This window comes from Homo sapiens, chromosome 8 (assembly GCF_000001405.40).
Source record: "Homo sapiens chromosome 8, GRCh38.p14 Primary Assembly".
NCBI lineage: Eukaryota > Metazoa > Chordata > Mammalia > Primates > Hominidae > Homo > Homo sapiens.
This window is the reverse complement of record NC_000008.11, coordinates 47,176,494-47,204,015: the sequence shown is the minus strand read 5'-3', so window position 1 is coordinate 47,204,015 and position 27,522 is coordinate 47,176,494. Positions and strand designations below refer to the sequence as shown.

Sequence of the window (27,522 nt, the reverse complement as noted above, 5' to 3'; positions counted from 1 at the left end):
ATTATTATAATTGACAAATAATAATAATTATTATTGACAAATAATAATAGTTATTAACTAAAATCTATAACCTACATTAGGCTTCAGCTTTGCATTATGCACTCTGAGAGTTCTGAGAAAGGCATAGTGTCTCGTATCTACCATTATGTGCCCTACAGAATAGTTCTCACATAAAAATCCTGTGTGCCACCAATTTATCCCTTCTCTCCGACACTCATTTTAAGAAAGAAAACTCTGCTGATGGAGGAACTGCTGAGGGATTCACGGCATCAGGTGTTTTAAGCTGCTCCGTGATGCTCACACTAACTTGTTCACACACAGTGCCATTTCTATTTCCGGTTATGTGATGCGTGTTTTCCTAGTTTGCTATTTTTGATGTTGGGATAAATCCCATAATATAATGGTAAATTTATCATCTTTCTCCTCAAAATCTGCAATTCTGCTGGAGGTCCTCCTTACCATTGATGGCTTCTTAGTGTGTGAGAGAGTTCACCCCCAGCCTGGCAGTGCTGCTCCGTGCCTAGGTCCCCTCAGCCCTGGGCCCCACACTGAGGTTACTGAAGACAACGCCTGGGACAGAGTCAGACCCTGCTTTGGGACGTGGTTAGAGAGCCCACCCCAGACACGGCTCTGTGGATTCCCAGTGTGCCCTCTGCTGGAGGAAGGAGGCCCTGCTACTCACTCCCAAAGAAAGTAGCAATCATTTCACTGGGGAGGGAAGAAAATGCTCCCAAGGATGGGGTTAGGTTTGCCATAAACAAGATTATGTGGCAGGAAGGAGAAAACACCTATCTCCCTCCTTCAGCCCTTGAGCTTTCCAGAGAAGGAAAGTTGGATTGAGGTCACCAAGGGCTTGGAAGAGCTGATTTGGGGAGAGGCATCAACACTCATTCCTCAGTGTCTCAGCCCTGTGTGGTCGTGGGTCTGTGTGAGGTCTCAGCATCTGCCTCTCTCAAGGTCTCTCTTAGGGGACAGCAGGGTGAAAACTGCTGCAGGAAGGGAGGGGAAGCTGATTTGCATAAATAACTTTTTCCCCTGTTGGGTCTGTAGAGCCATGAAAAGGCCATGAGGACAACAAACCCCAGCGGAGAAGCCTGGCCCACGTGACTGTCCCCACCATGGCCTGCATGATGCTTCTCCTTGGGCTCCTTGCTTATGGGTCAGGTCAGGGAAAGGGACTCTGCATCCCTGGAGGGACCACACAAAGCAGGATCCAGGTTACCCTTATCCCCATGACCATAACTCTGTCTCTCTTGTTGGTTTTAGGGGTGGATTCTCAGTCTGTGGTGACCCAGGAGCCATCACTCTCAGGGTCTCCTGGAGGGACGGTCACACTCACCTGTGCCCTGAGCTCTGGCTCAGTCTCTACCAGTCACTACCCCAGGTGGTACCAGCAGACCCCAGGCCAGGCTCCACACATGCTCATCTGCAGCCCAAACACCTGCCCTTCTGGGGTCCCTGGTCGCTTCTCTGGCTCCATCCTTGGGAACAAAGCTGCCCTCACCATCACGGGGACTCAGTAGATGATGACTCTGATCATTACTGTGTGCTGTACATGGGTAGTGGCAATTCCACAGTGATTTAAACCCATGAGGAGGTGCAACTAAAACCTCTTTACATACTCAGAAAGATTCAGCCCTTAGAAGCAAGAGAGAAGTTGAGAGGGTGGGAATGTCAACACCATGAGCTGGGAACCTCCTTGCCCCAGTGTCCTGTGCAAGGGTTCACTGCCAGGTGCCTTATCTAGTCTCTCCCAAGGTGTGTCCATCTCCCCAGTGTGACGCTTCCATGAATATGTAAACTCACGGTGAGTCACAGAGACGCCTGTGCTCCAGGAAGACTCTTCTTATTCAAAGAGAATCAACTGACATATGCTCATTCATTAATTTGTCCATGGAGACCAATTTAGTATTTCATTTATTACTGAAGTAAGGGCCTTGCCAAGTGCCTTGTTAAAAATGCAATTCTCCAACCTAGACCTACTGAATCAGAAATTTGTGTTGGTGCCTAGTAATTTGTATTTAACAAGATGTACATGAGATTTTTGTTAGCATTAATATTTGGGAAGAGCCTACTTTTATTATTATGAAATTATTCCTGGGGAATCTCTGTTTAAAATGATCTCAGGTAATATTCCATGACCCCCCTCTCCTAAATTCCCATTCAAAACCTCCAGAATGCTCAGAAACAGACTTAAAATCTCAAGCCATGGACAAATTTATAACTTTATTTCTGCAGACAGAGATGGGAGGAATTTCCAAAAACATACGTTCTTAGGTGCCAGGTGTGGTGACTCATGCCTATAATAACTAATACTTTGGGAGGCTGAGGCACGAGGATTGCTTGAGGCCAAGAGTTTGAGACCATCCTCTTCCACATAGTGAGATTCCATCACTACAAAAAAAAAAAAAAAAAAGACATAAGCCCCTTTAGGAATTTCCAAGACCATAAGTTTTCTTAGGGTACATTTAGTAGCTCATATGAATATTTCTGTTATTAGAGACCATCTCCTGTAGGATTGGCTCCAGAATCTCTTCTCCCTCTCACTGAGCTGACCTACCTGCAGCTCTGGTTCTTAGGATCTTTGTAAGACATAGGGATCAGCCTTCCCCATCCTCTACATCTTATCACAGATTATCCCAGCGGATCACAGTTCCACTGAGATCCACTCAGAACATATATATACTTGTCCTGAACAGTGTCTCTTAACATGACGCTGGCAAGATGAGGAGGACTGAGCGGTGACAAAGACTTGGAGCCACCTGGGGATGACCTGTGACTGCACGGCTGAGCTTTGCTGAGCCGACCTCAGGCTCCCTCCCTGCTCCCCTCCCCTGAGTCTGTCTCCTGGCCACCCTAGATCCAGGAGCTTCCTCTACTTGCCTGGGTTCTGGGGTCACCTCAGAGAACCTCTCAGTGAGATAAAGGAGGTGCTGTGGGGGATCTAACACACCTGAGGGCAAATTTCAAGACTGTCCTGCACAGGAAGCCCTGTGAAAAGAAACCAACCAGCCCTACCTGTGTCTGGCACCTGAGTTTTTAGTCCTGACTCCCTGGTCTCATGGCTGTGTTGAGATTGCAAATGTGCGGTTTATTATCCAGGTCAGGAGAAATCCATGACAGTTTATGAGGACAAAGAAAACAACTACCCCGTGTACTTATCACACAATTAAGACACTGGCCTACTTTGGGAGGCCGAGGTGGGTGGATCACCTGAGGTCAGGAGTTCAAGACCAGCTTGGCCAACATGATGAAACTCCATCTCTACTAAAAATACAAAAAATTAGTCAGGCACTGTGGCGGGCTCCTGTAATCCCAGCTACTTGGGAAGCTGAGGCACGAGAATCGCTTGAACCCGGGAGGCAGAGGTTGCAGTGAGCCGAGATTGTGCCACTGCACCCCAGCCTGGGCAACAAGAGTGAAAGTCTGTCTCAAAAAAAAAAAAAAAAAAAAAAAAGACACTGGCCTTTGATTTGATTTGTCAGTGCCCTGGAAGAATCCTGGAAGGAGAGGGTCAAGGTTACTTAGAAGGTGTTGGAGCTCAAACATGAGGATCAGTGGAGAAGACACCTCATGGTGACCCAGAGAGATAAAGGTGGGATCAGTTGAGAGGGTGGGAGATGGGGATTTCTTAAGGTCATTTTGTTGGCTTCTTTCTCATTGCAAAAGATTCAAATTGAAATACACACATGATTTTCCTAATAAATGCTTATGAGGCTTCCCATTAAGTTTAATTATCTTTCTTGCCTTAATGAAAATAACCTAGAAAGTAAGAAATGAAATATACTTCTGTAATTTCTTACAGATTGTGTATTTTTAGACTAGAGGAAATCATTACTTCTAAAGGAAAACTACTAGGATTGTTTGCATTTTAATCTGGGATCCTACATGATGGCTACAGATACAGCTATTGTGCAAGATTTTAACCTGGAATTTCTGCCAATTCAATAACAGAGGCAATAAAAATGGATATGAATATTATAAAGACAGAATTCATTTATTTTAAAAGTTTTGAATGCTATGAATATCTACCAAGAATAGAATACATGGTACTGAAAATTTATTAGAATGAATTTTAGAATTGCCAAATTTGCAACTAATGAAATAAAATGTATTATAAAGAGTTCAAAATCCTTATTTTTTGGTCTCAGTAGACAAAAATAAACATTGAATTTATCTATTAGAAAATAACTAGTAAATTTAGTAAATTATATAAAAGAAAATTTGAACAAATGGTACAACAGGCCAGGTGTGGTGGCTCAGGCCTGTGAATCCCAGCACTTTGGGAGGCCTAGGCGGGCAGATCTCCTGAGGTCAGGAGTTTGAGACCAGCCTGTCCAACCTGGTGAAACCCCATCTCTATTAAAAATACAAAAATTAGCCGGGTGTGATGGTGAGCACCTGTAATCCCAGCTACTTGGGAGGCTGAGGCAGGAGAATCGCTTGAACCTGGGAGGCACACTTTGCAGTGAGCCGAGATTATGCCACTGCACTCCAGCCTGGGCAACACAGCAAGATTCTGTCTCAAAAAAAAAAATTGGTAAAACATTTTCTTTTATCTGAGGACATCAAATAAAAAAAATTCAGGCCAGATGCAGTGGCTCACACCTGTAATCCCAACTACTTTACGAGGTCAAGGTGGTAGGATCTCTTGATCCCAGGAGTTCAGTACCACCCAGGGCAACATAGTGAGATCTAATCTCCAGTGAAAATTATTAAATTTAAATGTAACTAAAATTATTTAATTAAAAATAATTAAAATTAGCCAGGCATGCTGGGCTGTGCCTGTAGTCCCAGCTACTAAGGAGGCTGAGATTGGAGGATTGCTCAAGCCTGGAAGGTCGAGGCTTCCTGCTGTGAGCTGAGATCCTGCCACTGCACCACAGCATGGGCAACATGGTGCTCAAAAAACAAAACAAAACAAAAATTCAGCAAGTAGATTGGTGATGTAAATGCATTGTTATTATTTTTATCATTGTTTGCTTGTGTAGGTTTTCCTCTGAGAAGGTGGACGGAGGGTGTTAGCAGAGGAGATAGCGCAGCCCCCTTAGATATCAGAAACAGGGATCTATGGTAAATGGAAAATGCCAGTCACTTGTCGCCATGCACAGGCGGCTATACCCTCCCTGTGTCAGGCTCTGTGCCAGCAGTGATGGGCCCCATGTGCCCCCTTCAGGGTCCTGCATGCCATCTGTGCTACCCTCCAAACTCCCAAGGGCTGGGCATTGGTGCCTGTGTTGCTATGACGACTCAGCACTGTGTCCTCCCTGAGAGGGGCAGAGTCTGTAGAGGGTTCTAGTATCTGCTTCCTGTCTGATCCTCCCATGGGACAAACTTTGCATCTCACCCACCAGCCTCCTGTGTCTAAAGAATAAATGTCAGACTGCAGCTGTCTTCTCAGGTGGAACAGAGATCACCAGGAGGAGAACACACTTGTATAAACATCTCCTCCTCTTTCAGAGCAACAAAGATAAAAAGAGGCCTGAACCAGCAGCCTTCATTACAGGCAAGAGTACTGTGTCCACTGTGGCCTGGACAACTGTCTTCTTCATGCTCCACCATTATTGCACAGGTGAGGACAGAATTTGGTTGTCCAGGGTGAGCTCCTTAGCTTGTCAGCCCCTCTGGCTCAGACCCCCAAGGGACTTCACCCTGGCCCCGCCCCAGCCCCCATGTGAGTCTGCGTCTGCAGTTCTTTCTCCCAGCCTGTGCTGACTCAGCGCCCTCCCTCACTGCATTGCCTGGAGCATCAGCCACACTCACCTGCACCCTGAGCAGTGGGGCTTCAGTGTTGGTGACTGCAATGTACTGCTTCCAGCAGAGGCCAGGGAGTCCTCCCAGGTTTCTCTTGAGATACTCCTCAAACTCTAGTAAGCTACAGGGCTCTGGGGTCCCATCTGCTTCTCTGGATCCAAAGATGCCTCAGCCAATGCAGGGATTCTGCACATCCTTGGGCTGCAGCCTGAGGACAAGGCTTACTATTATTGTTGTAGCAGCTTGCAGGCTTACACAGTGCCCCAGACCCATGGGGAAGTGAGGCGCTAACCTACTCTCTTTTCCCCTTGCCTGGCGCAGTCACCCCGCTAGTGGTTCTGACCAAGTCCAGCTCAGGGGGTGACTTCTGTTGTCAGATCTTTAAATAGCAACTGATTTTCCCAAATGGATCTGACAATGTGGTACCATTTTCTTCAGTTTAACTTTTAAATCAGTTCACTTCTCATTTCTTTTCACTCTGTTCATGGTTATTCAGGAAGAAATGTTTTGTTTAAAGCTAAAAATCTCTCAGTGGAGACTTTGGAGGAGGCCCAAAGAGGCTGGTTCAGGCCATGCCCAGCTCAGGGTCCAGGAGTGATATGGAGATGCTTCTGCTCAGAGGGCGTCAGTCTGGGCCCTGGATACAGCACCCGCATGCAGGAGAGAGCTCTATTCTCTATATTAGCGATGAACCATCACTCATTTTAAAATAATCTTCCTGGAGGAACAGAAAACCATGGGGTGAGGCTGCTCTAAGAGTCACAGAAATAAACTTGGCTGGAGGGCAGAGAGGGGAGCCAGACACCAGTGGACCCAGTCATTAGTGCTGCTCATGACCTTGAGCCCCTGACCATGTGAGATTGCCAAGGTGTGGGATAAATCTAAGACATTTTAGGTGGGAAAATAAGACAAGCATCCTCATTTCTTCATGACTCAGTGAAGGCACCAGCCTTGGCTCTGTGGGTTTCCTGGAAGATGCTGGAAATGGGGGAGTATGTCATGTTGCCTAGCAGGTGTTGGGACTCAAACATGAAGATCAGTGATAAAAATAAATTAACAGAGCCAAAATAAATAAAATTAAATGTTTATAATAAGTTAAGAATAATATAATACCTTTATTTAAAGACAGGGTAAGTCATAAGGGTGGAAACAGTGGATTTACCTCAAGGCCTTTTTTTTTTTTTTTTTTGCAATGGAGTTTTGCTCTGTCGCTCAGGCTGGAGTGCAGCGGTGTGATCTTGGCTCACCACAACCTCCACCTACTGGGTTCAAGTGATTCTCCTGCCTCAGCCTCCCAAGTAGCTGGGATTACAGGTGCCCACCACCACACCTGGCTAATTTTTGTATTTTTAGTAGAGATGGGGTTTCACCATGTTGGCCAGGCTGGTCTTGAACTCCTGACCTCAGATAGTCTGCCCACTTCAGCCTCCCAAAGTGCTGGGATTACAGACGTGAGCCACTGCACCCAGCCACCTCAAGGCCTTTTTATTAACCCTTTCCCGTTGCAATATTTTCCTTTTTTTTTTAGAGTTGAGATCTTGCTTCATTGCTCAGGCTGGAGAGCAGTAGGGGGATGGGGTCACTGAAGCATTGACCTCATCTGCAAAATATTCAAATATAAAAATATTAAATAAGCATTTCAATAAATGCTGAAGAAACTTCCCATTAATTTCAGTCAATGTCTTCATAAAAATAAATATAAAATTAATGAAATAGATTATAATTCCCTAGTGTCTTAATGACAGTGCGTCTTTAACCTAGATGGGGTGCCCCACCCCTGGATCAGCCTCCTGGGTCAGCCCTACCCAGCCAGGCCCTGCACTCTGTCCCCTGCCTTATACTTTCATCCACACCCTTGTGGGCCACTGGAAAGGAGGTATCCAGCAGCCTTTTTTTTTTCTTTCTGCTGTGCTGCTCAAATGGGGGGAAGGAGGCATCCAGAACCATGAGCCATTAAAAACAACTAAGGAATAGAGAAAAGCATTAGTCCTCAAGGTGAGATACTAGGACTGTTTCTATGTTAATCTAGAACCACCCATGACGGCTGCTGACAGAGCTGTTAAGAACAAATTTAACCTGGAATACTGTCAAATCATAGTAGAAATAACAAAAAGAATAACGATATTTCAAAATGAAGATTCATTTGTTTAATTTAAGAATGTCACATATTCTACCTAGAAGATAAGAGATTTTACTACAAATTCATTAGAAGTTTCCTTCATGGCATGGACCACTGATGTCCCTGCCTTCTTGGGTGGTGTGATGTTACAGGTTGGGGCAGCATCCATGTCCCACACTCCTCGGGGTAGAAGCGGGGAGCAGAGGCAGGAGCCTGAGCCTGTGGCATTGGCTGGGCCAAGGATGACCTTACCAAGGCTTTCTCCTTGTCAGCCATCCTCACATGCAGGTGGTCTGGCAGTGGCACTGTGAAACCCAGGCACTGGAGTTTCCCCTGCATGGCCCAGTGGTGACTGTGGTGGCCATCAGCATCTGGGGCAGATAAAGCCGTGTGAGCTGGCAGGTTGTGGCCACCATTCCAACAATGCTATGTGAAATACATATATCCGAAAACAATCAATGCTGTTCCAAATGTATTAATTATGTAATAGCTGTTTTAAGTCACACAATTTTTTAAAATGACTTGAATCTAATACGTTTCTTTTATCTTTAAAACTCTCTAACATAGATTCAAGGATAAAAATGATAAATTGATCAGACGTTTTATATTATGAGTTCAGTAACGTTGTTAAAAAGTATATTCATCTAAGGTTAGGAGTGTTGTCAGAACGAGAATGCGTTCTGTAGTAAATTTGTGAAACAATAGTTTTGGAATTGCCTTACTTAGCATTCTGGTGGTTTAAAATTAGTTTATATTGTAAATATTACTTACTAGGCTTGTAGAATAAAGTGTCACTGTTTATCTTTTTTTTTCCCATTATGAGAATTTATTTATTTTTGGAGGAAATTACTTTTGTTGCACTCTTCACCTACTTATGATAAGTAATCCTAGAATGTTTGCAAAAAGCTCCTTTTGTTGTATAATAAAACAGTTGCTATTCTCGTTCCATTTATTTAAGGTCACTTTTTTTTGACTTGCTGGAGAAAATGTTTGTTCAATTATTGACAAATATTTACTGAACACCTGCTCTGTGCCACGTACTCCTGTGTCAGATGCTGGCTATTTGTTGGTGAATAAAACAGACTTTCTCCTTATAGAAATTGTGTCTAGTGAGCACAGGAGTAAATTCTGTGAGTGCTATGATGGAGAGTCAAACTGAGCGCTCTTAGATTTGCCAACATGTAACATGTTGTTCTTACCAATTTCTTTTATTAAAATAAATGTTAGCGTACAAAGATAATCTGTTTTAATGTATATTCAGAAATATCTGTTTCTATGAGTTAAGAGTATCTGCACAGATACAGCAAATAATTTATAGTAGGCATCAGATATAAATAATATAAAAGTAAATGAAGTGTTTTCCCAGAGCTTGATCTAGTTTCTGATTTGATATTTTAATAACATGCATAAAATATCACTTTATAAAGAAGAATTGTTCCACACTATAGAAACTTCCCTAACAGGTTTAAAATACCTTCTTGGAAAAATATCAACACCATCTTTAATGTGAAGGAAATCTGATTGTCCAAATACATCTGTTAAGATGTAACATATGAATAGGTAACACACTGTGTAAGATTACTTATAAGACATATTTTAAAGATTTTAAAAATACTTAATGTGCTCACTTTGTGCTATAACTTATAAAATTTCTGCTGTGTGGTGGTGACTTACTTGTAAGAAATGAGAGGTGGCAGGGCGCAGGTGCAGACTGTGGTTGGGTGGGTCAGCTGACCCCAGGGTCCTTTGAACTGATTTAGGCCACTTGCCTTGGTCTCAGAATCACCACTGTCATAGCCAGTCAGTCACAGGGCATCCAGCAGCTGCTGCAGGTTGAGAAGCAGGCCGTTGAGAAGGTGTCAGAGGCCTGCAGCCAAAAGAACCAGAGGCTGAAGCAGGCCAAAGTGGCAGTTCAGGCTGAAATTGAATAGTGCCACCTGCAGAGGGAGAAAGAGTTCAAGGCCAAGGAAGCTGTGGCACTGGGACCCCAAGGCAGCTGCAGCACGGAAGTGGAGGAGACCCAGGATAAAATGACCATCCTCCAGACCTACTTTCAGCGGAACAGGGAAGAGGGTGTGGATAACCTCTTGGCCTTTGCGGCATCCAGCCAGAAATTCATGAAAACTACGGCATAAATGGATAGGAGGAGAAGCGCCTGTTCCATGGACTGGCATTTTAGCTGCCCTCATGAAATAAGAAACTTTAGCAAGCTCTAGTTATATTCTAATGAGAAGGCATTTAATTATTTCTGTATGTTGTATAGTTGGTCCCTTCACTTTATGGAGAGCAGCAAATCCAGTTTCTTGTGCAGACATAGAACTAAATGTGTCATCCTTTTACTTCATGTTTCTTAGGAATTTAATGGTTATGTGCTGTCTGTTTTCCTATGCCTTTTGGCTCAAGTAACATATAGCAATGTTGACTTTTTCTTTTTTAGATCTAGTAAAACAACAACAACAAAACAATCTTTGAAGAAAGGAAGGGATTAAGTATTTTTCCTCTAATACTTTCTTGAAGGTCAATGAAAAAGTGGTAAATAGTTATATGTAACCTGTGTGAAGCAGCAGCCAGCCTTAAAGGAGTCCATTCCTTCCAAGGCTTAGAACAGTGACTACTGCTGTAATTGCTTAGGCTGCTGTTAGTTTCTCTTAATCAAAATTACTATGTGATAGAATTCATGTTATTACTTGGTGTACTGAAAATAATTTAAAAGTAAAGACTCTGTCGTGCAAGAAAGGAAAAAATGAGAGGCAAAGAATGTTAAAATAGAAAAAATGTTTTTATGAGAGAGTTAACCTTTTAATGGCAACTATATGTGAATAAAATTAAACCATCACTTAAAATATTCATTAGAATGAATAATAGAATAACCAAGTTCATAATTAGTAAGATAAAATATATTGTTGTTTTTTCGTTATTTTTTAATTCATATTAGAATTTCTGTCAGTGTTTGAACATTCATATTTATAGTTTGTACATTTTCACCTTCCAAGGTTTAAAATGAGAACCACACTACATCACAAAAGGTAACTAATAAACATTTCACAATTGTGTGAATATCCACTCACTCTCACTCTCTTAACTTCTTTCCTTAATTTCTTTCCTTGCTGTAATTTACAATGAAGTGTGCCCCACTCATATCTCAGCAAAGTTTCAGATATTATGGATTCATCACATGTATATTCTTTTAAAATATACTTCTGTCAACAGACTTGATAACTATTATGTACACCACAAAAACAAATTTTACATAAATTATATGGCATACTTTTATCTTTGTAATTGAAATGACACAAACTCATTTACACCAAAATTGGCAATAAGACTCAGTTTGAATATTTATTTCCTTTAAACCCCTTACCCTTTAGGGTTTTAACCTACCATGAGTCCTTAATGTAAATGTTATATACTCCAAACTATTTAACATTAGTAAGCACCCTATACAAGTAAAAATTCTGTTCAAAAGTAAAACATAGCTGTAGTAATGTTTCCAATAGAAATAAAATCTCTGCATTTCTGTGGTTATAAACTGGTATGACAAATACTGTAGAGGAAAACATTCTTATGACACAAAATTAAAAATATCAGAAAGAATTTTTTAAGTTAAAACATACACATGAACAAATAAGACATTCAAAATGAAAGTATTAAAAGAGAGAGGGAGAGAAATTCTAATTACCTGCCAGCCCCCCAGTTCTCCCTTTGCCATTGTGACTATTGGAGAAAGTTCTACACTGTGCAGAAGTCAGGGGACCACACAGGCTCTGGCACACCACGAGCTGGGCTCAGAAAAGGAGCGAGGGTATGCCAGGAGCCAGAGGGAAATGGACTTCAGAATTTTGCGTCGTCTCTCCTCGACACAGGACATAACGTTTTCTGAGCAGAGCTGGGCGTTAAGTAGGCAGATGATGTGGGTGACAGAGAGGCATCAAGACAGCTACAGGGGGGCTGCCAGGGTCCCCGGCAGAGTCACACACACAGCCAGCAGCCACAAGTCGCTTCCAATCAGTATCTTAGAGTTTCATGGTGAGTATCAGGATCTGAGGTCACTACGCTGCAGGTATTCCTGGGGCCCATTGCCCTTCCGTTAAGATTTCCCACATAATTTAAGAGGGAGTAACAGGAGCTGCCACTTGTGAGTGCCTCATAGTAGCTTAGGCTTCTGCCCTGCTGGGACCCCGCCCTTTCCTCTGACTTCTTGTCTGTAACAAGACACTGGTGTTGATTTGGAAGGGGAGCCAGACACCGGGTGCTTCCCTGACATTTGCTGGTCTCTAGCTAAGAGGTTGAGGGAACCCATACCTTAGAGCAAAAGAAGAGCAGTACAGAAGCAATATGCCTGGTTGAGAGATCTGCCTCCGCCTACATCCTTCAGTGGGGTGTATGCCATCCTGCTTTTCCATGTCACACTGAAAGAGCGCTATTAATGGAGAAGACGGAGACAATGATGATTTATTTAGGAAGTGTGCATCCCAACACTGACACATTGAGGAGAATCCTTCTGGAGCTTGTATCTCACAGAATGCCTGCCTCTGCATCACCACAATGCATGCTCACAATTTATTTTTAAAGAAAAATGGAAACAGATCCAGAAAGCCCCAATGAGCTGTTCCATTTAAGAAGAGAGGGAGTTTAAATCACAGTAACTCAAAACATAATTTCTGGGTTTATTGTGGGCCCAGGAATAGCAGAACAGGTTTTTCTACATGTAGCAGGGCCATGGTCTCCAAAAGATTTGCAATCCACTCTTAAATTTGGGGGTGCCAGGGGACAGGTCATGTGTGTGTTGGTTGTGAGAGGGGCACAATACTGCGTGCTTTTTAGAGGATATTCTCATGGCCCATCCAAGGCTTACCGCTTGGCATGTTACCCAATTCTTTAACATCCACGATGATGAACAGGTGTTAGTTCTGCACCCTGAGGTTTCAATATCCATCATGATGATCCGTGAGAAGGAACTTATTTCCTCTGCAGCACAAGTTGAGGTGTCTGGATGACAACCAACGATATTAAGCGATGCTGTGGACATGATGCCAGTCTGGCTTTTCCTGGGCCCGTTGAAAGGATTAGGCAGATGTTTAGGGCCAGCCCTCACCCAGCACAAAGCAATAAAAGATCCTTATGCTTCTTCTAGCCTGACTAGGTCAGAGCCTGCTAAGGGTTACAGACACTGAGGGGAAACAAAACAAGCAATAAAAACAAATCACAGTACAGTACACTGAGAAATCACACGTGTTCACATGCGCAGCCACTCGAGAACCACACACAACTACAACTAGAGAAGATACCGGGATTAACGTCCTTTGCTCATATCTGTTCATTAAACAAAAAACGTTATGATGCATAACATGATTGAAAGTTAACAGTAACATTTCGGGTGGGGGGCTGGGGGAGGGATAGCATTGGGAGAAATACCTAATGTAAAGGACGAGTTGATGGGTGCAGCAAACCAATATGGCACATGTATACCTATGTAACAAAACTGCACGTTGTGCACATGTACCCTAGAACTTAAAGTATAATAATAATATAAAAAATAAAAAGAAAAAAGAAAAAAGAAAAAAAAAAACCAGTAACATTTCATACTACCACAGGGTTGTGATATGCAAATTTAAAATATTTAAACAGAAAGCTTTACAAAATAATCCTATTACATAAGCAACATTCACATAGAATTATACAAGTAAATTATACAATATATTTTATTTTATTTTATTTTATTATTTTTCTTGAGACGGAGTCTTGCTCTTTCACCCAGGCTGGAGTGCGGTGGCGCAATCTCGGCTCACTGCAAGCTCCACCTCCCAGGTTAACGGCCATTCTCCTGCCTCAGCCTCCCGAGTAGCTGGGACTACTGGCGCCCACCACCACGCCCAGCTAATTTTTTGAAATTATAAAATATTTAAGCAGCAGCAACATATGCTGACATTCAAGACGAAGTGAAGCTTGGTTGTGGCACAGAGACCAATGCAAAAATAAGGAGAGGCCCCACTGCAGCCTCCACAATCTGGGGCAGGAGTGGAGAAGCCCCAGATCATACTACTTTACATCCTTCCTTCCTATATTACACATGTGTACACCTCTTAAATCTTTATGGAAATGTTTAACAAAATAATACAACCAGCTACAGCAACAATGTACTGCTATCCTGGCTCAAGGCATCTTTACCGTAACTACGAGCAGTTCTTACCAAGCAGTTCTTGAAAGGTGTAGGGGCAGGGGTTTCCGATCTTTGACCTCTTTACTTTAGATTTTTTTTTTTTTTTTTTTTTTCTGAGATGGAGTTTCGCTCTTGTTGCCCAGGCTGGAGTGCAATGGTCCAATCTCAGGTGACTGCAACCTCCCCCTCCCAGGTTCAAGCGATTCTCGTGCCTCAGCCTCCCTAGTAGCTGGGATTACAGGCGCTCGCCATCATGCCTGGCTAACTTTGTATTTTTAGCAGAGACGGGGTTTCACCATGTTGCCCAGGCTGGTCTCGAACTCCTGACGTCAGGTGATCCACCTGCCTCGGCCTCCAAAAGTGCTGGGATTACAGATGTGAGCCACTGCGCCCGGCCTGCTTCAGATTTTAATCACCCTCAGTTGGAGCTGCTTCCCCGGGGCCACTCCTCGCACTCCACATCCTGCAACTCTGTGACTTCTACCTTCAAATTCGTCCTCTCACCCTGGACCTGGAAAAGCAGGTGAGGACCCATGAACAACCCGTGGTCAGTCCCTGGGTAGCCCTCCTGGCCTGTGCAGAGCCCCGCTTGGGGGTCCTGCGTGGGCCCAGGACAGGCGGAGGGTGCACAGTGACAGTCACGGAAGCGGATGCCATCACAGTGGTGATGGAGAACACTGCAGGCCTCAGGCGGCTCGGCTCTGGCCGGGGTTGACAGATCAGCTGCTGCGGCGGCCGCGGCCGGGGTCAGACCCTGCGCCTTCCACTGCCACATTGCGCGGGTCCCAAGGTCTCTGACAGAGGGCTAGAGTCGACACCCAGCGAGCCTGTCCTGCGCGTTCCCTGCGGCTCCAGCTTTCCCCACCCGACCTCCGCCCCGCGCCGCGACCCCTCAGCGCAGAAAGAGCCAGCAAATCCCTGCGGTCCCGCCGGCGGCGTGGGCTCCCTCGGCCCCTCCCGGGTGTAGGGCACCTGCAGAGCCGCTGGGTGCGAGGGGGCCCGGCGGGTCCCAGTGCTGCCGCTGCTCCTGAGGTGGCAGCTCCCAGCGGTGGTGGCTCCAGGAGATGGAGGTTCCCTGCGGTGACGGCTCCCGGTGGCCGTGGCGGCTCCTGGAGGTGGCGGCTCCCAGCGATGGCGGCTCCCGGGAGATGGAGGCTTCTGGCGGTGGCGGCTCCCGGCTGTGGCAGCTCCCAGCGGTGGCGGCTCCTGGAAATGGAGGCTCCCGCCGGTGACTGCTCCAGGCAGTGGCGGCTCCCGGGGGTGGCTGCTTGGTCCGCTGGGCTTGGGCTGCTGGGTTCGCGGTGCTGTGTGGCCCGGCCTCCGCTTTCCTGTGCTCCTACACAACCCACGGAACCATCCCGTCTCCGAGTGGCGCTGCTCTGGCTCCCGGACCCAGGGACTGTGCCGTGTGTGTGCAGCGTGCAGCGGCTGCAGCGGCTCCGTTATTGAGTAGATGAGATGGAAGAAGAAAAAAAGAACTCCCTCCATTTGGAGAAAGAAGGAGGGGAAGGGGAGACAGCAAGCGAAAGAGGAAAAGGCTATATTGCTTTTTATGTAACTCCTTAAAATTTCAGACTGTTTATTATTCTACTCTCATTAAAATGATAAACTTCCAATGTATCTAAAAGAAAACAACCACAAAACTCAGCAAATAATACAGGAGGTAATTTGAACAAATGGTGAAATATTTTCTTTTTTTTTCTTTTTTTTTTATTATACTTTAAGTTTTAGGGTACATGTGCACATTGTGCAGGTTAGCAAATGGTGAAATATTTTCTAACCTGAGGAAAGTAATAAAAATTTCAACAACGAGTAGATAGGTTCTGTGGGCCATTTCATTATTTTATTATTGTGTGTTTGTATGTGTTTTCCCTTGAGATGGTGCGCAGGTGGGTGTCAGCAGAGGAGACAGCACAGGACCCTCAGATGCCAGAAGCAGGGATTGGTAAATGTGAAACACCAGTCACTGTCACCATGCAGGGGTGGCTGCGCCCTCCCTGTGTCAGCCTCTGTGCTGGCAGAGGTGGCCCTGGTGCCCTTTTAGGGTCCTGCCCGCACTCTGCACTCACTCAGCCAGCCCCATCTTCTAGAACTGAGGGTCATCTCCTTCTGCACTGGAGCAAGCAGCAGAGTCCTGTGGACACTGTGGCCTGGGTCCCCAGCTCCTAGGAGAAGCCCCATACAGTGACGCCTGCTGTTTCCCACAGCGCTCAGGGGTCTCTGTGGGAGCTCTTGTTCCAGGTCTGGCCTGGTGGCCTCCCTTACTACTCTGGCCTCCTGTCTGAGGCTGAGGGTGAGCATTCCCATTCAGGAGGTGAACAGAGCCCAGTGCAGCCCAGGGCCCCTACCCCCAGGGAAACGAGGCCCAAGCCTCTTGTCTGATCTCCTCTAGGACCCCTAGATCCCTTCTCTCCTCTTGTCACTAAGGCCAGAATAAGGGAAACGCAGGCACTTCTCCTTGCTGGAGCAACGATCTGAGACCTTCACTGAATTGGTAACCTTTTATCCCCCCGATATTTATGCTTAACTATTAAGATAAATCATCTCAGCCCAGTCATTGCCACAAAGGCAGGAAGCTCAGGTGGAAAATACTCTGGTCATCCCATGTGTCTGGGCATGTGACCTTGATGTGTGTTTGTGCCCATGTCTCAGGACAAGTTTTGGGTTAGGGGAGTAGTCAGCATGTGGCCCAGGGGAAAGGTGTTGAGGTTTGTGGAGTCAAAGAGGAAACTCATGCACATTAGTGCTCTTTATCTATAAGGCAGCCTGTGAAGTCTGCAGGTTCTGAGACTGTCTGCAAGTGGATCGGTAACATGCCCCAGGATGGACGACTGGGACGCCACAAAGGAAAAGACAGGCTACACAGTGAAAGTACACCTGCCCATGCCCTAGGACGCTGAAAGCGCTATGAGTGTCATTCAGTGTCTTCGGGGCTGAGTGGAAAGAGCACAGACTGCCTTTGCTCTGCTGTCACCACAACAATCAGCACAGAAGGCTTCCGTGACCAAATGTGTGGGGATTTCTCGCTCCCACAAAGCAAGCCATCAGTTTTGTAGTGGACCCCACCTGGGTGTCCTCTAACTCAACTCAGTTCTGACACTATCTACATGAAGATGGGGTCTGATCTTACAGCTTGAGGGCTCTTTCACGAAGACTGTGCCCCACTTCTTATGCCAATCACAAGCCCAGGTTGCTTCATCTGTGCTTCTGACCAAAGACCTATAAACTGAGGATCCCACAACTCCTCCTTGGCTTCAATTAATTTGCTAGAATGCCTTGCGGAACTCAGGAGAACACTTACTTAAATTCACTGGTTTATTATAAAGGATATAACCGACACAGATGAAAAGGTGCATAGGGTGAGGTATGGGAAGAGGTGCACAACCATCCAGTAACCTTCATGTGTTCAGTCCCCGAGAAGCTCTCCCAATCCAGCCCCCTTTGGGTTTTTATGGAGGCCTCATCACACAAGCTTGATGGAGTAAACTACTGACCACTGGTGATTAACCTGCAGCCCCTCTTCCCTCCATGGAGGTTGGGAGACAAGGCTGGAAGTCCCTATCCTCTAACCCTGCCTTGGTCTTTCTGGTGACTGGCCCCTATCCTGAAGCTACCTAGGGACTGCTGGCCATCAGTCATCTCAGTGGCATACAAAAAGGCATCACTTCAGTAATTCTAAACGTTTTATGAGTTGTATGATGGGAAATGGGGTCAAAGACCAAATTCATAATTTATGATATCACAGGGATGGAAAAGAAACAGGAGACCGAGGATTTCTAGCCCACACTAATCCCTGTTATGACAGATATGGAATCCCAATCCACAGGAGGCAGGAAGCTGAGAGGTGAGACAAAACCTATGAAAATCAGAGATGAGGGGCAGGTCTCAGTTTCTTGTGACTGAAGTGATAGAGCCCTGCCAGGCTCTCACTTGGATTGACAAACTAAATAAAAATATATACCCTTAAAACAAAGAACACATCTGAGTATGCATCCGAAAGAATGGAAGTTAGGATCTTGCAGAAATATCGATACACTCTTATTCATTGCAGTATTAATCACAGTTTCAAAGACAGGGAGGCAATGTAAGGTCCACTGATCAATGAATGTTTACAGAAAATGTGGTGTATAGATGCAATGGGATACTATTCAAATTCATAGAGAATTAAATCTTGCCATATGCTACAACATGGATAACACTGGAGCACATTATGCTGAGTGAAATAAGTCAGTCACAGGAGAAAAAATGCTGCCTGGCTCCATTTGTGTGAGGTCTCTATCATAGTCAGCCTAACAGCAGTGGAGTAGAATGCCAGGGGCAGAGGGAGAAGGAAATGGGGAGTCACTGCTCAAGGGCTATGAAGCTTCAGTTATGCAAGATAAGTAAGTTCTAGAGATGTGCTGTGCAACACTGTGCTTACAGTTAACAATGCTGTATAATGTACTTAAAATTTTGTTAAGAGGGTAGATTTCATGTTAAGAGATCTCATGTTAAGTGTACTTATTAAAATGGAAAAAAAAGGCCAGGTGCGGTGGCTCACGCCTGTAATCCCAGCACTTTGAGAGGCCGAGGCGGTGGATCACGAGGCCAAGAGATCGAGATCATCCCGGCCAACATGGTGAAACCCTTTCTCTACTAAAAGTACAAAAAATTAACTGGGCGTGGTGGCAGACACCCAGCTACTTGGGAGGCTGAGGCAGGAGAATCATTTGAACCAGGAGGCGGAGGTTGCAGTAAGCCGAGATTGCGCCACTGCACTCCAGCCTGGCAACAGAGCGAGACTCCGACTCAAAAAAAAAAAAAAGAAAAAAAAAACCCTTAAAAATAACAGGATGGAAAAAACATACCATGAAACCATTTACAGAAAGTTTCTGTGGCTATATTAGTGGTACTAGGAAGTGCAGAAATCCTCAGCCCTTTGTTTGTATTGGGAAAAAGATTTCAGCCAAGAGACAAGTTAACCAAAAAAGAGGGAATTTATTGAAGGAAGATAGGGAGCAGAAACTCTATGTGGCGGGACAGTACTTTGAAAGGTGCAGTTAATGAATGCATACTGCTTTTTCTCGATACTGGGGCAGGTAAAGATGGACCCTTTTCTGCATCTGTGTTGTGAGTAGCTAATCATCCACCCTGTAGTGCCATGAAGGTCAGGGCCATTTGCAAGCACAGAACCTACATTTTCTTTGTACGGTGATTCCACATGCACATATGAGTCACTGCTGGTCACTGAGTGAGGCAGCATCCTTACTCTCAGTGACCTTGCTAGTAAGCTTTCCTGGGGTTTGATAGTCAGTAATAGGTGCATGTGTAGGTATATGGATGTACGTATGTGTATATGTGTGTGTGTATATATATAGAGAGAGAGAGAGAGAGAGAGAGAGACAGAGTCAGAGAGAGCACATGAGTGCTGGGGGAGGGGAAGAGGCTTCACAGAGGTCTTGAAGCATGAGGAGTAGTTTGCCAGGAGATAGGGGATGAAGAACATTCTAGACAGATGGAAAAGGAGGAGCAAAGGCATGGAATGGGGACTAGAGAGCCTGGAGAGGGCAGAAGGGAAATGGCTGGAGGGGTCATGAAAAGCCTGGAATGCCACTCTCCAGAGATTGAGTTCCACCTTGCAGTACAGAGGATGACCTGTGGGTTTTATTTCATAAGTCATCTTCATTTCATTGCTAGTGTGCTAATTTCAGAGCATGTGTTAAGAAGGATTCCGAGGTGGGGCCAGGCACGGTGGCTCATGCCTGTAATCCCAGCACTTTGGGAGGCTGAGGTGGGTGGATGACGAGGTCAGGAGATCGAGACTCATCCTGGCTAACATGGTGAAACCCCATCTCTACTAAAAATACAAAAAAAAAATTTGTTCGGCATGGTGGCGGGCGCCTGTAGTCCCACCTACTCGGGAGGCTGAGGCAGGAGATTGGCGTGAACCCCGGAGGCGGAGCTTGCAGTCAGCTGAGATTGCGCCACTGCACTCCAGCCTGGGAGACAGAGTGAGACTCCATCTCAAAAAAAAAGAAAAAGATTCCGAGGTGGCATCAGGGCAAAAAGTGACAGATCAGTTAGCAATGTCCCCTGTACTGCAGGGGTGGAGCAGTACACTCCACTAGAGTGTACTGGGTGGGCACTAGAGATTTGCCACCCCTGCTGTAGGACAGTGAGAGCCACTGAAGGATGGGAGAGGGTTGGGGTAGAGGAGCAGGGGCTCGGTATGTGTGTTGTAGAGGATCAACCGGAAGCTCTGGGAGCACGAATCATAGGGAGGCAAGGCTAAGGTCATGTTGCCAATGAGCCAGCACTGAGTTAAAAAATATCTGAGGAGCAAATGAACCGCTGAGTGTCTACAAGGCAAAGAGTGGACATTTGCCTTGTGGAACACAAACGCCAGTATATTTTATGTGCAGAAATGTGAAAAGGAAGAGACAGAGGGACCAACGGAGACACAGAGCAGACAATGGGTGCACAAACCAGCCGTTTGTCCTTCTCAAGAGCTGCCCAGTTGGGAGTCAGCCCCACTCTCCTCAAAGGCCCTTTAGCAGAGGAGGGGACTGCAGCTCCTCCAGGTCTAGGGTGGCTTCAGGGTGGAAGGCACTCTCCCTGACATAGCTCCTCTAAGGGCTGGGCCTCTCACCTGTCTGAATCCCAGGGTGATGCCTGCACAGCCCAGAGCTTCCTAAATGCAGGTTCCCAGGAACCGACCCACTCAGCAGCTGCCTCCCCAGGGAACCCATGCAGACCAAGGGACCAGGACAAAAGGGCTTCATGGGCACTCCCTAGGTACTATTGCTGTGAATAAGCATAGGCCATTGGAAGTCACTGGCATTGAAAAGGAGACAGGGCACATGGGAAAGAATGCCTAGTAAGCATCAGAAATGGTTCAACCGTGCAGGGCAGCACATTGCAATCTGTAATTCAGAGATGCTGCCATGTCCAGTGGAGAGAGGCCTGGGAAACCAGAGGTTCATGAACAGCCAACAGATACTCCCCACCAGCACCCCTACTTCTTGTCAGGGCTAGGATTACTCCAAACTCTGAGTCCCTGGGCACTAAGGGACTGGGGCCCTGATACTCAAAAAAGCAAGCTGAAGTCTGGGCTATCCCTGGTGAGATCTGAACCTGCAGATCCAGTGGTCAGGCCGGGGGTTGCTGCCTCCCTTTGCTAGAGGCTTGGTGCCCTACGAGGGGCAATGGAAGCAATGAGACACCTCAATGGAGCAGAAACACAGAGCTGGATGTTGCCAGGCACACAGGTGTACTCCAGGACCTCTTGCATTTGGGAGCTTATAGGACCCAGAGGGAAAATGGTGCCAGGAATGCCCACAAGGTAACATCTGGAGTGGCAAGGCCTGGTGGGTCATCCGAGGGCTTGCTCTGGCTGAGAATTATGAGGTATCAGCAAGCTAGTCAATGAATTCAGTTGTGGGTGTGTGAAGGTGAGTAGCGTGATCTAGGGGCCCACATGGAAGGCCTGGAGGGGTGCTGGGGTACAGGAGACTGAGACAACATGGAGCTGGGGAGAGAACCAAGGAACCAATTGCCCAGAGAGAACAGGGAAGTCAGACAATATTCTTCTTCTGGAATCTTCTCCACCTATAGATAAAAAGCAATATATCCCCACTGGAAGCCTGATTCCCTGTCACCCCCAAAAGCCCTGGATTTGGGGACACAATAAAATCAAAAAGAGGGCTGGCCCCTTCAGAATGTAGCTCATCCCTGGATTTGAGGCGCCTGCCCAGGAGACAGGCTGGGAAATGCCTTTCATTCTTCCCTGGACAGAGCTAACTGCAGAAAGATCCTGCCAAAGGCACAGTCTGCAGACTTTTCTCCAGACCTAGGGGACCATTGCTGCCCATCCCACTATACCCTGCCCCAGCCTGTACCCTGGGTGTTGCTATCTGCATGGTCTGGGTGGGGCAGCCAGCAGGGAAGAGGACATTCTCTCCACAGGTGCTATTACCATTTTTTAATGATCCATAAAGGGGGAAGGTTAATTTCTACCTAAGGGTCCCAGTGTGGCTATGAAGAAACCATGTACCATGGGATGAGCCACTTTCTAATGGACCCTTCCCCTTGGGGAGTGGGGGGCAGAGCTGAAAGGAGGCTGGAGTGAGGACTTCACCAGTCCACTGCCAGCAATGGACCTGTCACAGGAGAAAGGGAGATGGGAGAACCAAGACGACAAAGTCCATGAGTATGGCAGGGTTAATTACTGTTATGAAGTAAGCTCAAAGGGTCAGCCTCACTGGCAGGGGCTTGGGGAGAGGGGCAGCTGGGGCTATGGCAGAACCAGAACTGATCCCCTCCCATAAAGGTTGTGCCAAAGAGCATTCCACAGCTGAAAGATCATCCTCTCTTACCTCCTCTCATTCTCCATGGGTCTCGAATGCTGGATACCTGGCTCCTTCATTCTGTAGAAAGCTGGATTGCTCAGCCGTCTTGAAAATAAACCTTTCAGGGCATAGAAGACCTAGAACTCTGCTTCCCCACGAACTTACTTACCTCTAGGTTTCCACTGTGGATGCAAAGAGCCCATTTCAGCCTGACTGCGCACTGGAGGGCATCATTCGTTCTCAGCTGGGCCACTTCGAGGAGGAAGTATTGCCTCAGCCCACTAGACTGGGGTTTGGGGAGGCATAACTGAGGAACTCCCCAGGCATCAGGCCAGTGGGAACAGTGTGGAGAAGGCTGCAAGGGGGTGGGGATGGGGGTGTTTCAGGGCTTGGTCTCCGGCAGCTCCTGTGCTGGCTAGGGAGCTGGGGTGGGGCAGGCCTGGTGAACAACATGGATAAAGGGCCGCTCGTGGTAAAGGCCTTGAAAACAAGAGAGAAAAGGGGAAATGCCACCAAACACATGGGGATTGGAATCTCCAAAACCCAAGGTTGGTGGGAATCCAGTACCATGGGGCCCCCAGAAAGCCAAGGGAGCACTGCTTGGCTTTCTCCCACCTGAGTTCCCACCTTTGGGGCACAAGGGCCACTTTTCTCCACCCCCTGCTGGAGGGGAGAGGAGCCAAGGGAAGGTCTCCCAGCCCCTGCAGACCAGGGTTGCTGCCAAGCAGCCTCCTGGCTGCCCAGTGTCTCCTAGGCTGCAGCTCAGCAGGCCCCCGGGGAGGTATTGGTTGCAAGCACGCACCTAATGGAACCAGCCAAAGATCAGTTAAATCCAGATGAGAGGGAGGGAGTTGAGGCCTTGCTTCCCACCTGCATCCCCTTCTCAACGTCCCTTAGCCAGGACAGTGCCCGTGGCTTCCAAAGTCAACCATATGGTCCATTGCTGCTCAGCCACAGGCCTCCCGCCGCCAGCCTCTGAGCTGGGCCGAGATCCATGGACCCTTCCCAGTGTCGCTCTGCTGCCTCGACATCCCATCCCCAAAACCTGATCACTGCCCCCAACACTGGCCCATCACAGAGGGTAGTGGCCTGTGTGTGCCAGTGGACGTTATTGTAGCTGCTTCTGTAATGAGGACGTGCAGGAGAAATAATTTGTGTGGAAAACACTGTCAGCCTTCCTCTCCCCGTTAGCAGTAATTCCAAGGTCAAAAACCAAAGGTTGGGGCCATGGCCTGGGCTGATGGAGACCTTGAGGTGGAATCAGCCTGCACTGCGCAATGTGACCGGCAGGGATCGCCAAACCGCCTTTTCTGCCCCCCATGTGGTATGCATGCGTGTTCTCTGCGCAGATGCAGCGTGGTATGTGTGGTGTGCGTGGTGTGCATGGTGTCAGTGGTGTGATGTGCAGCGTGGCGTCTGTACTGTGGAGAAGTAGCGCTCCAGTTCCCTGAGGACTCTCCGGCACTGCAGCAGGTTCGGGACGACTTGTGGCTGCGCCCTGGGGAAGAAACAGCTCCTGTCAGTAGCTGACTGCTGAAGACGGAACTTCGGTGTGGCTTCTTCGTGTTGCGGGTTTCTCCCGGGCGTTTTTTCCTTCATGGTGAGTACAGAAGCTTTCGTTTTCTAGAATGTTCTGTTTCTTCCTGTTAGGTTCTCCTTTTCATCTTAATCTGGTAGCATTTTAGTATTTATTTTACAGTAGTTCTCATTCCCTGAGGGCTTTGGAGGGTGGCAGCATAGGAGGCTGTGATACTTCAGGACGTTAGGACTCTTTCTGAGGGAAACTCCCCCGTGTAGACAGAGAGAGGGAAGCTCCGGCCTTGGGAGGAAGGGGAAGCCGCCCAGGCCAGGGTCGGAGTTTGGCTGCGCTGGGTCCAAGCCTCAGACGGAAGAAAAAGGATCCTAGTCACCTCCAGGGTTTGCTGATTTTTTTATCTGAGTTCCCACCTTTGGGGCACAAGGGCCACTTTTCTCCACCCCCGGCAGCGCGTGTCCCCTCCTGTCCCTCTCGTCACCCCCACTTGACGCAGGGAGTTCATGGGTTTTGCGGTGCAGCAGCTTTTCAGTTTACTGTAGCCCCTGCACGTCGATTTTTGATTTTGTTGCTTATGATTTTGGTGCCCAGTTTTAAAATGAGATCTTACCCTGTTTTACTTTCTCTTCTCTTCTCTGCCCTCCCCCCTCTGTCTCTCTCCTCTCCTCTGTCTCTCTCTCTCCTCTCTCTCTCTCTCTCTCCTCTCTCTCTCTCTCTCTCCTCTCTCTCTCTCTCTCTCTCTCCTTTCCACCCTGTGAGCTTGGATTCAAGTTGTCCTGGAAGTAAGCTCCCCCTGTAGTTTCTTACAGTTTTACGATGATTCATGGTTTCAGGTCTTGTGTTGAGGGTTTTTATTTTTTTGAGACTGAGTCTTGCTCTGTTGGCCAGGCTGGAGTGCAGTGGCACAATCTCAGTTCACTGCAATTTCTGCCTCCCAGGTTCAAGTGATTCTGCTGCCTCAGCCTCCGGTGTAGCTGGGACTACAGGTGCACACCACCACACCTGGCTAATTTTTGTAGTTTTAGTAGAGACCGGGTTTCGCCATATTGGCCAGGTTGGTCTTGAATTCCTGACCTCGTGACCTGCCTGCCTTGGCCTCCCAAAGTGCTGAGATTACAGGCGTGAGCCACCGTGCCCAGCCGTATTGAGGTTTTAAGCCCATTTGGAGTTGATTTTTTGTTGTGTAACAGAAGGGTCCTATTTCATTCTGTTGCATATGGATATCGGTTTCCTTAAAACCATGAATGAAGAAAATCTCTTATCCCCTTGTGTCTTTCTGGAAAGGCACCTGGGACAGAGGAACCACCTGCAGGCCCCACAGCCCCAGTTGAGGAGGCGTGGTGAGAAGGGGACTCGGTGTTCTGCAGCTTACCATTACCTCTGTGGCCCATCCATGGAATCTGTGAAGAGGTGTGTTGTTCGTGTGTCTCCATTTTCTGCTCACATGGAAAATCTGTGGTGTGACGGCTTCAGACTCCACAGGATGAATGAGGGTGGGGGAGAGGAGAGGAGAAAAGAAAAGAGAGGGAAAGGGGAGAGAGACAGAGGAGAGAGGAGAGGAGAGTGATGACAAGAGACAAATATGAGTGAGAAACAGAAAGAATGGACAAGATGATTAGAAGGCTGAAAGAAGGAGAGAGCAATCTAAGGTGAGAAAACACTGCACATAGAAAACATTCTGAAGGAGAGAGAAGGAGGGGCAGATCAGATAGGGGAAACAACGAGGGGGTGGAGAGAGGTTGAGAGGGTGTGACTCACCTCTGGAGGGCTGGGTTCTGTTTTTACTGGGAAGAAAAAAATGTTCTTTGTTATCAAAAGCCTTGAGTGACACCAGTGGGTCTTCCCACTCATGAACCAGCACCCAGATTGGTGAGTGCAAACACACATGCACATTCATGTGCAAACATAGATACATGCTCACATACTCAAGATACACATATATTCACATGCACACATATACACAAATGCACATGTGTATGCACGTACATGCTCATGTGCACACTTGTGTTCTCACACATACTCACATGTACATGCACAGGCACACACACACACTCACATGAACACACTGACATACACACATTAACATTTTCTGTTTGCCCCTGGTGAAATAGAGTGCTAGAAAATTTTGCCCAACCATTGTGATGTCTTTGGTAGGCAAACTGGGGGAAATTTCGTCACAGCCATGGTGCCAAGTTTTGAAGAGGTTTTTCCTACTGTGGGTGTCTCAGCATGAGCTAGGTCTTCCCTGAGAGTGGCATCTGGCCCCAGCTCCATGTGGCCCTCACCAAGTCCTGTTGCCTATACATCCTAGGTTCCATCTCCCAAAGCTGGCTTTGTCAGTGGTCTGTGAAGTGGGCTGCAGAACCACTGAAGTGTGGAAATAGAGATCAGAACTTTACATATATCTATACTTTATCTCACATTTAAAAATTTCCTTTTCCTTGTATGTGTATAATAATATCTCTATTAGTGGAGCAGAGCACTTAAATGATCATTAAATAAAAATGCAATATGGTTGCATGCTAAGAAAGATTTTGCTGTTAGTGGTATGTTATTAGGAAAGCTTGGAGTCGCTGGGACTGCCTTCTAGTCACTTTTCTCTGCATCTTTTCTTGGACACTCTTTTTGTCCGTTCTCCAGTTCAGTCAAGTGTGATTGTTTAACAATTCTCACCTCTCTTCCTTCTACCCCCATGCTTAAAAGCCTTTAGTAGCTTCACAGTGTTTTTAAATAGTTATGAATTTGAGTGTTGTTTTTTTTTTTTTTTTGAGATGGAGTCTCTTGCCCAGGCTGGAGTGCAGTGGTGCGATCTCTGCTCACTGCAACCTCCGCCTCCCAGGTTCAAGTGATTCTCTTGCCTCAGCCTCCCGAGTAGCTAGGGTTATAGGCGCATGCCATCGTGCCCAGCTAATTTTTTTTTTTTTGAGACGGAGTCTTGCTCAGTCGCCCAGGCTGGAGTGCAGTGGCGTGATCTCGGCTCACTGCAAGCTCCGCCTCCTGGGTTCACACCATTCTCCTGCCTCAGCCTCCTGGGTAGCTGGGACTACAGGTGCCTGCCACCACGCCTGGCTAATTTTTTGTGCATATTTAGTAGAGACGGGGTTTCACTATGTTAGCCAGGATGTTCTCTGTGGGGAAAAGCAAGAGAGATCAGATTGTTACTGTGTCTGTGTAGAAAGAAGTAGACATAGGAGACTCCATTTTGTTCTGTACTAAGAAAAATTCTTCTGCCTTGAGATTCTGTTAATCTATAACCTTACCCGCAACCCCGTGCTCTCTGAAACATGTGCTGTGTCAACTCAGAGTTGAATGGATTAAGGGCGGTGCAAGATGTGCTTTGTTAAACAGATGCTTGAAGGCAGCATGCTCCTTAAGAGTCATCACCACTCCCTAATCTCAAGGACACAAACACTGCGGAAGGCCGCAGGGACCTCTGCCTAGGAAAGCCAGGTATTGTCCAAGGTTTCTCCCCATGTGACAGTCTGAAATATGGCCTCGTGGGAAGGGAAAGACCTGACCGTCCCCCAGCCCGACACCCGTAAAGGGTCTGTGCTGAGGAGGATTAGTAAAAGAGGAAGGAATGCTTCTTGCAGTTGAGACAAGAGGAAGACATCTGTCTCCTGCCTGT

The 27,522-nt window shown here is 46.8% G+C and overlaps 1 protein-coding gene, 1 long non-coding RNA gene, 1 pseudogene and 1 gene segment (V, D, J or C), besides 1 other annotated feature; 2 read left to right on the top strand and 2 right to left on the bottom strand.

The window, feature by feature from the left end:
• Positions 1 to 1,109: 1,109 nt before the first annotated feature.
• IGLV8OR8-1 (immunoglobulin lambda variable 8/OR8-1 (pseudogene)) lies at positions 1,110 to 6,045 on the top strand. The segment is given in 5 exon segments: positions 1,110 to 1,164; positions 1,267 to 1,562; positions 3,596 to 3,604; positions 5,390 to 5,674; positions 5,918 to 6,045. Coding segments are annotated over 5 exon segments (764 nt in total).
• ATP6V1G1P2 (ATPase H+ transporting V1 subunit G1 pseudogene 2) lies at positions 9,667 to 10,013 on the top strand (annotated as a pseudogene).
• Positions 10,634 to 15,643, bottom strand: LOC124900251 (proline-rich proteoglycan 2-like). 2 transcript variants are annotated; one of them, XM_047422516.1, is made up of 2 exons: positions 14,064 to 15,643; positions 10,634 to 13,043 (listed from the first exon to the last, which is right to left on the bottom strand). In XM_047422516.1, exon 1 carries the CDS (start codon positions 15,519 to 15,521, stop codon positions 14,781 to 14,783), a length of 741 nt encoding a protein of 246 aa, XP_047278472.1. In that variant the 5' UTR covers positions 15,522 to 15,643; the 3' UTR covers positions 10,634 to 13,043; positions 14,064 to 14,780. The 2 variants fall into 2 exon arrangements, with proteins under 2 accessions (XP_047278472.1, XP_047278473.1); XM_047422517.1 differs by having other exon boundaries at positions 10,634 to 12,293.
• On the bottom strand, positions 10,754 to 14,709 carry LOC100287846 (uncharacterized). Its single transcript, NR_037168.2, has one exon. It is a non-coding gene; the product is annotated as an uncharacterized LOC100287846 (long non-coding RNA).
• Positions 24,429 to 25,025: an enhancer, noted in NCBI's record as "H3K27ac-H3K4me1 hESC enhancer chr8:48090614-48091210 (GRCh37/hg19 assembly coordinates)". NCBI's record gives its function as "activates a minimal SCP1, AML or CMV promoter by ChIP-STARR-seq in naive H9 embryonic stem cells {active_cell/tissue: H9 hESC(naive)}" and the evidence as "EXISTENCE:reporter gene assay evidence [ECO:0000049][PMID:30033119]".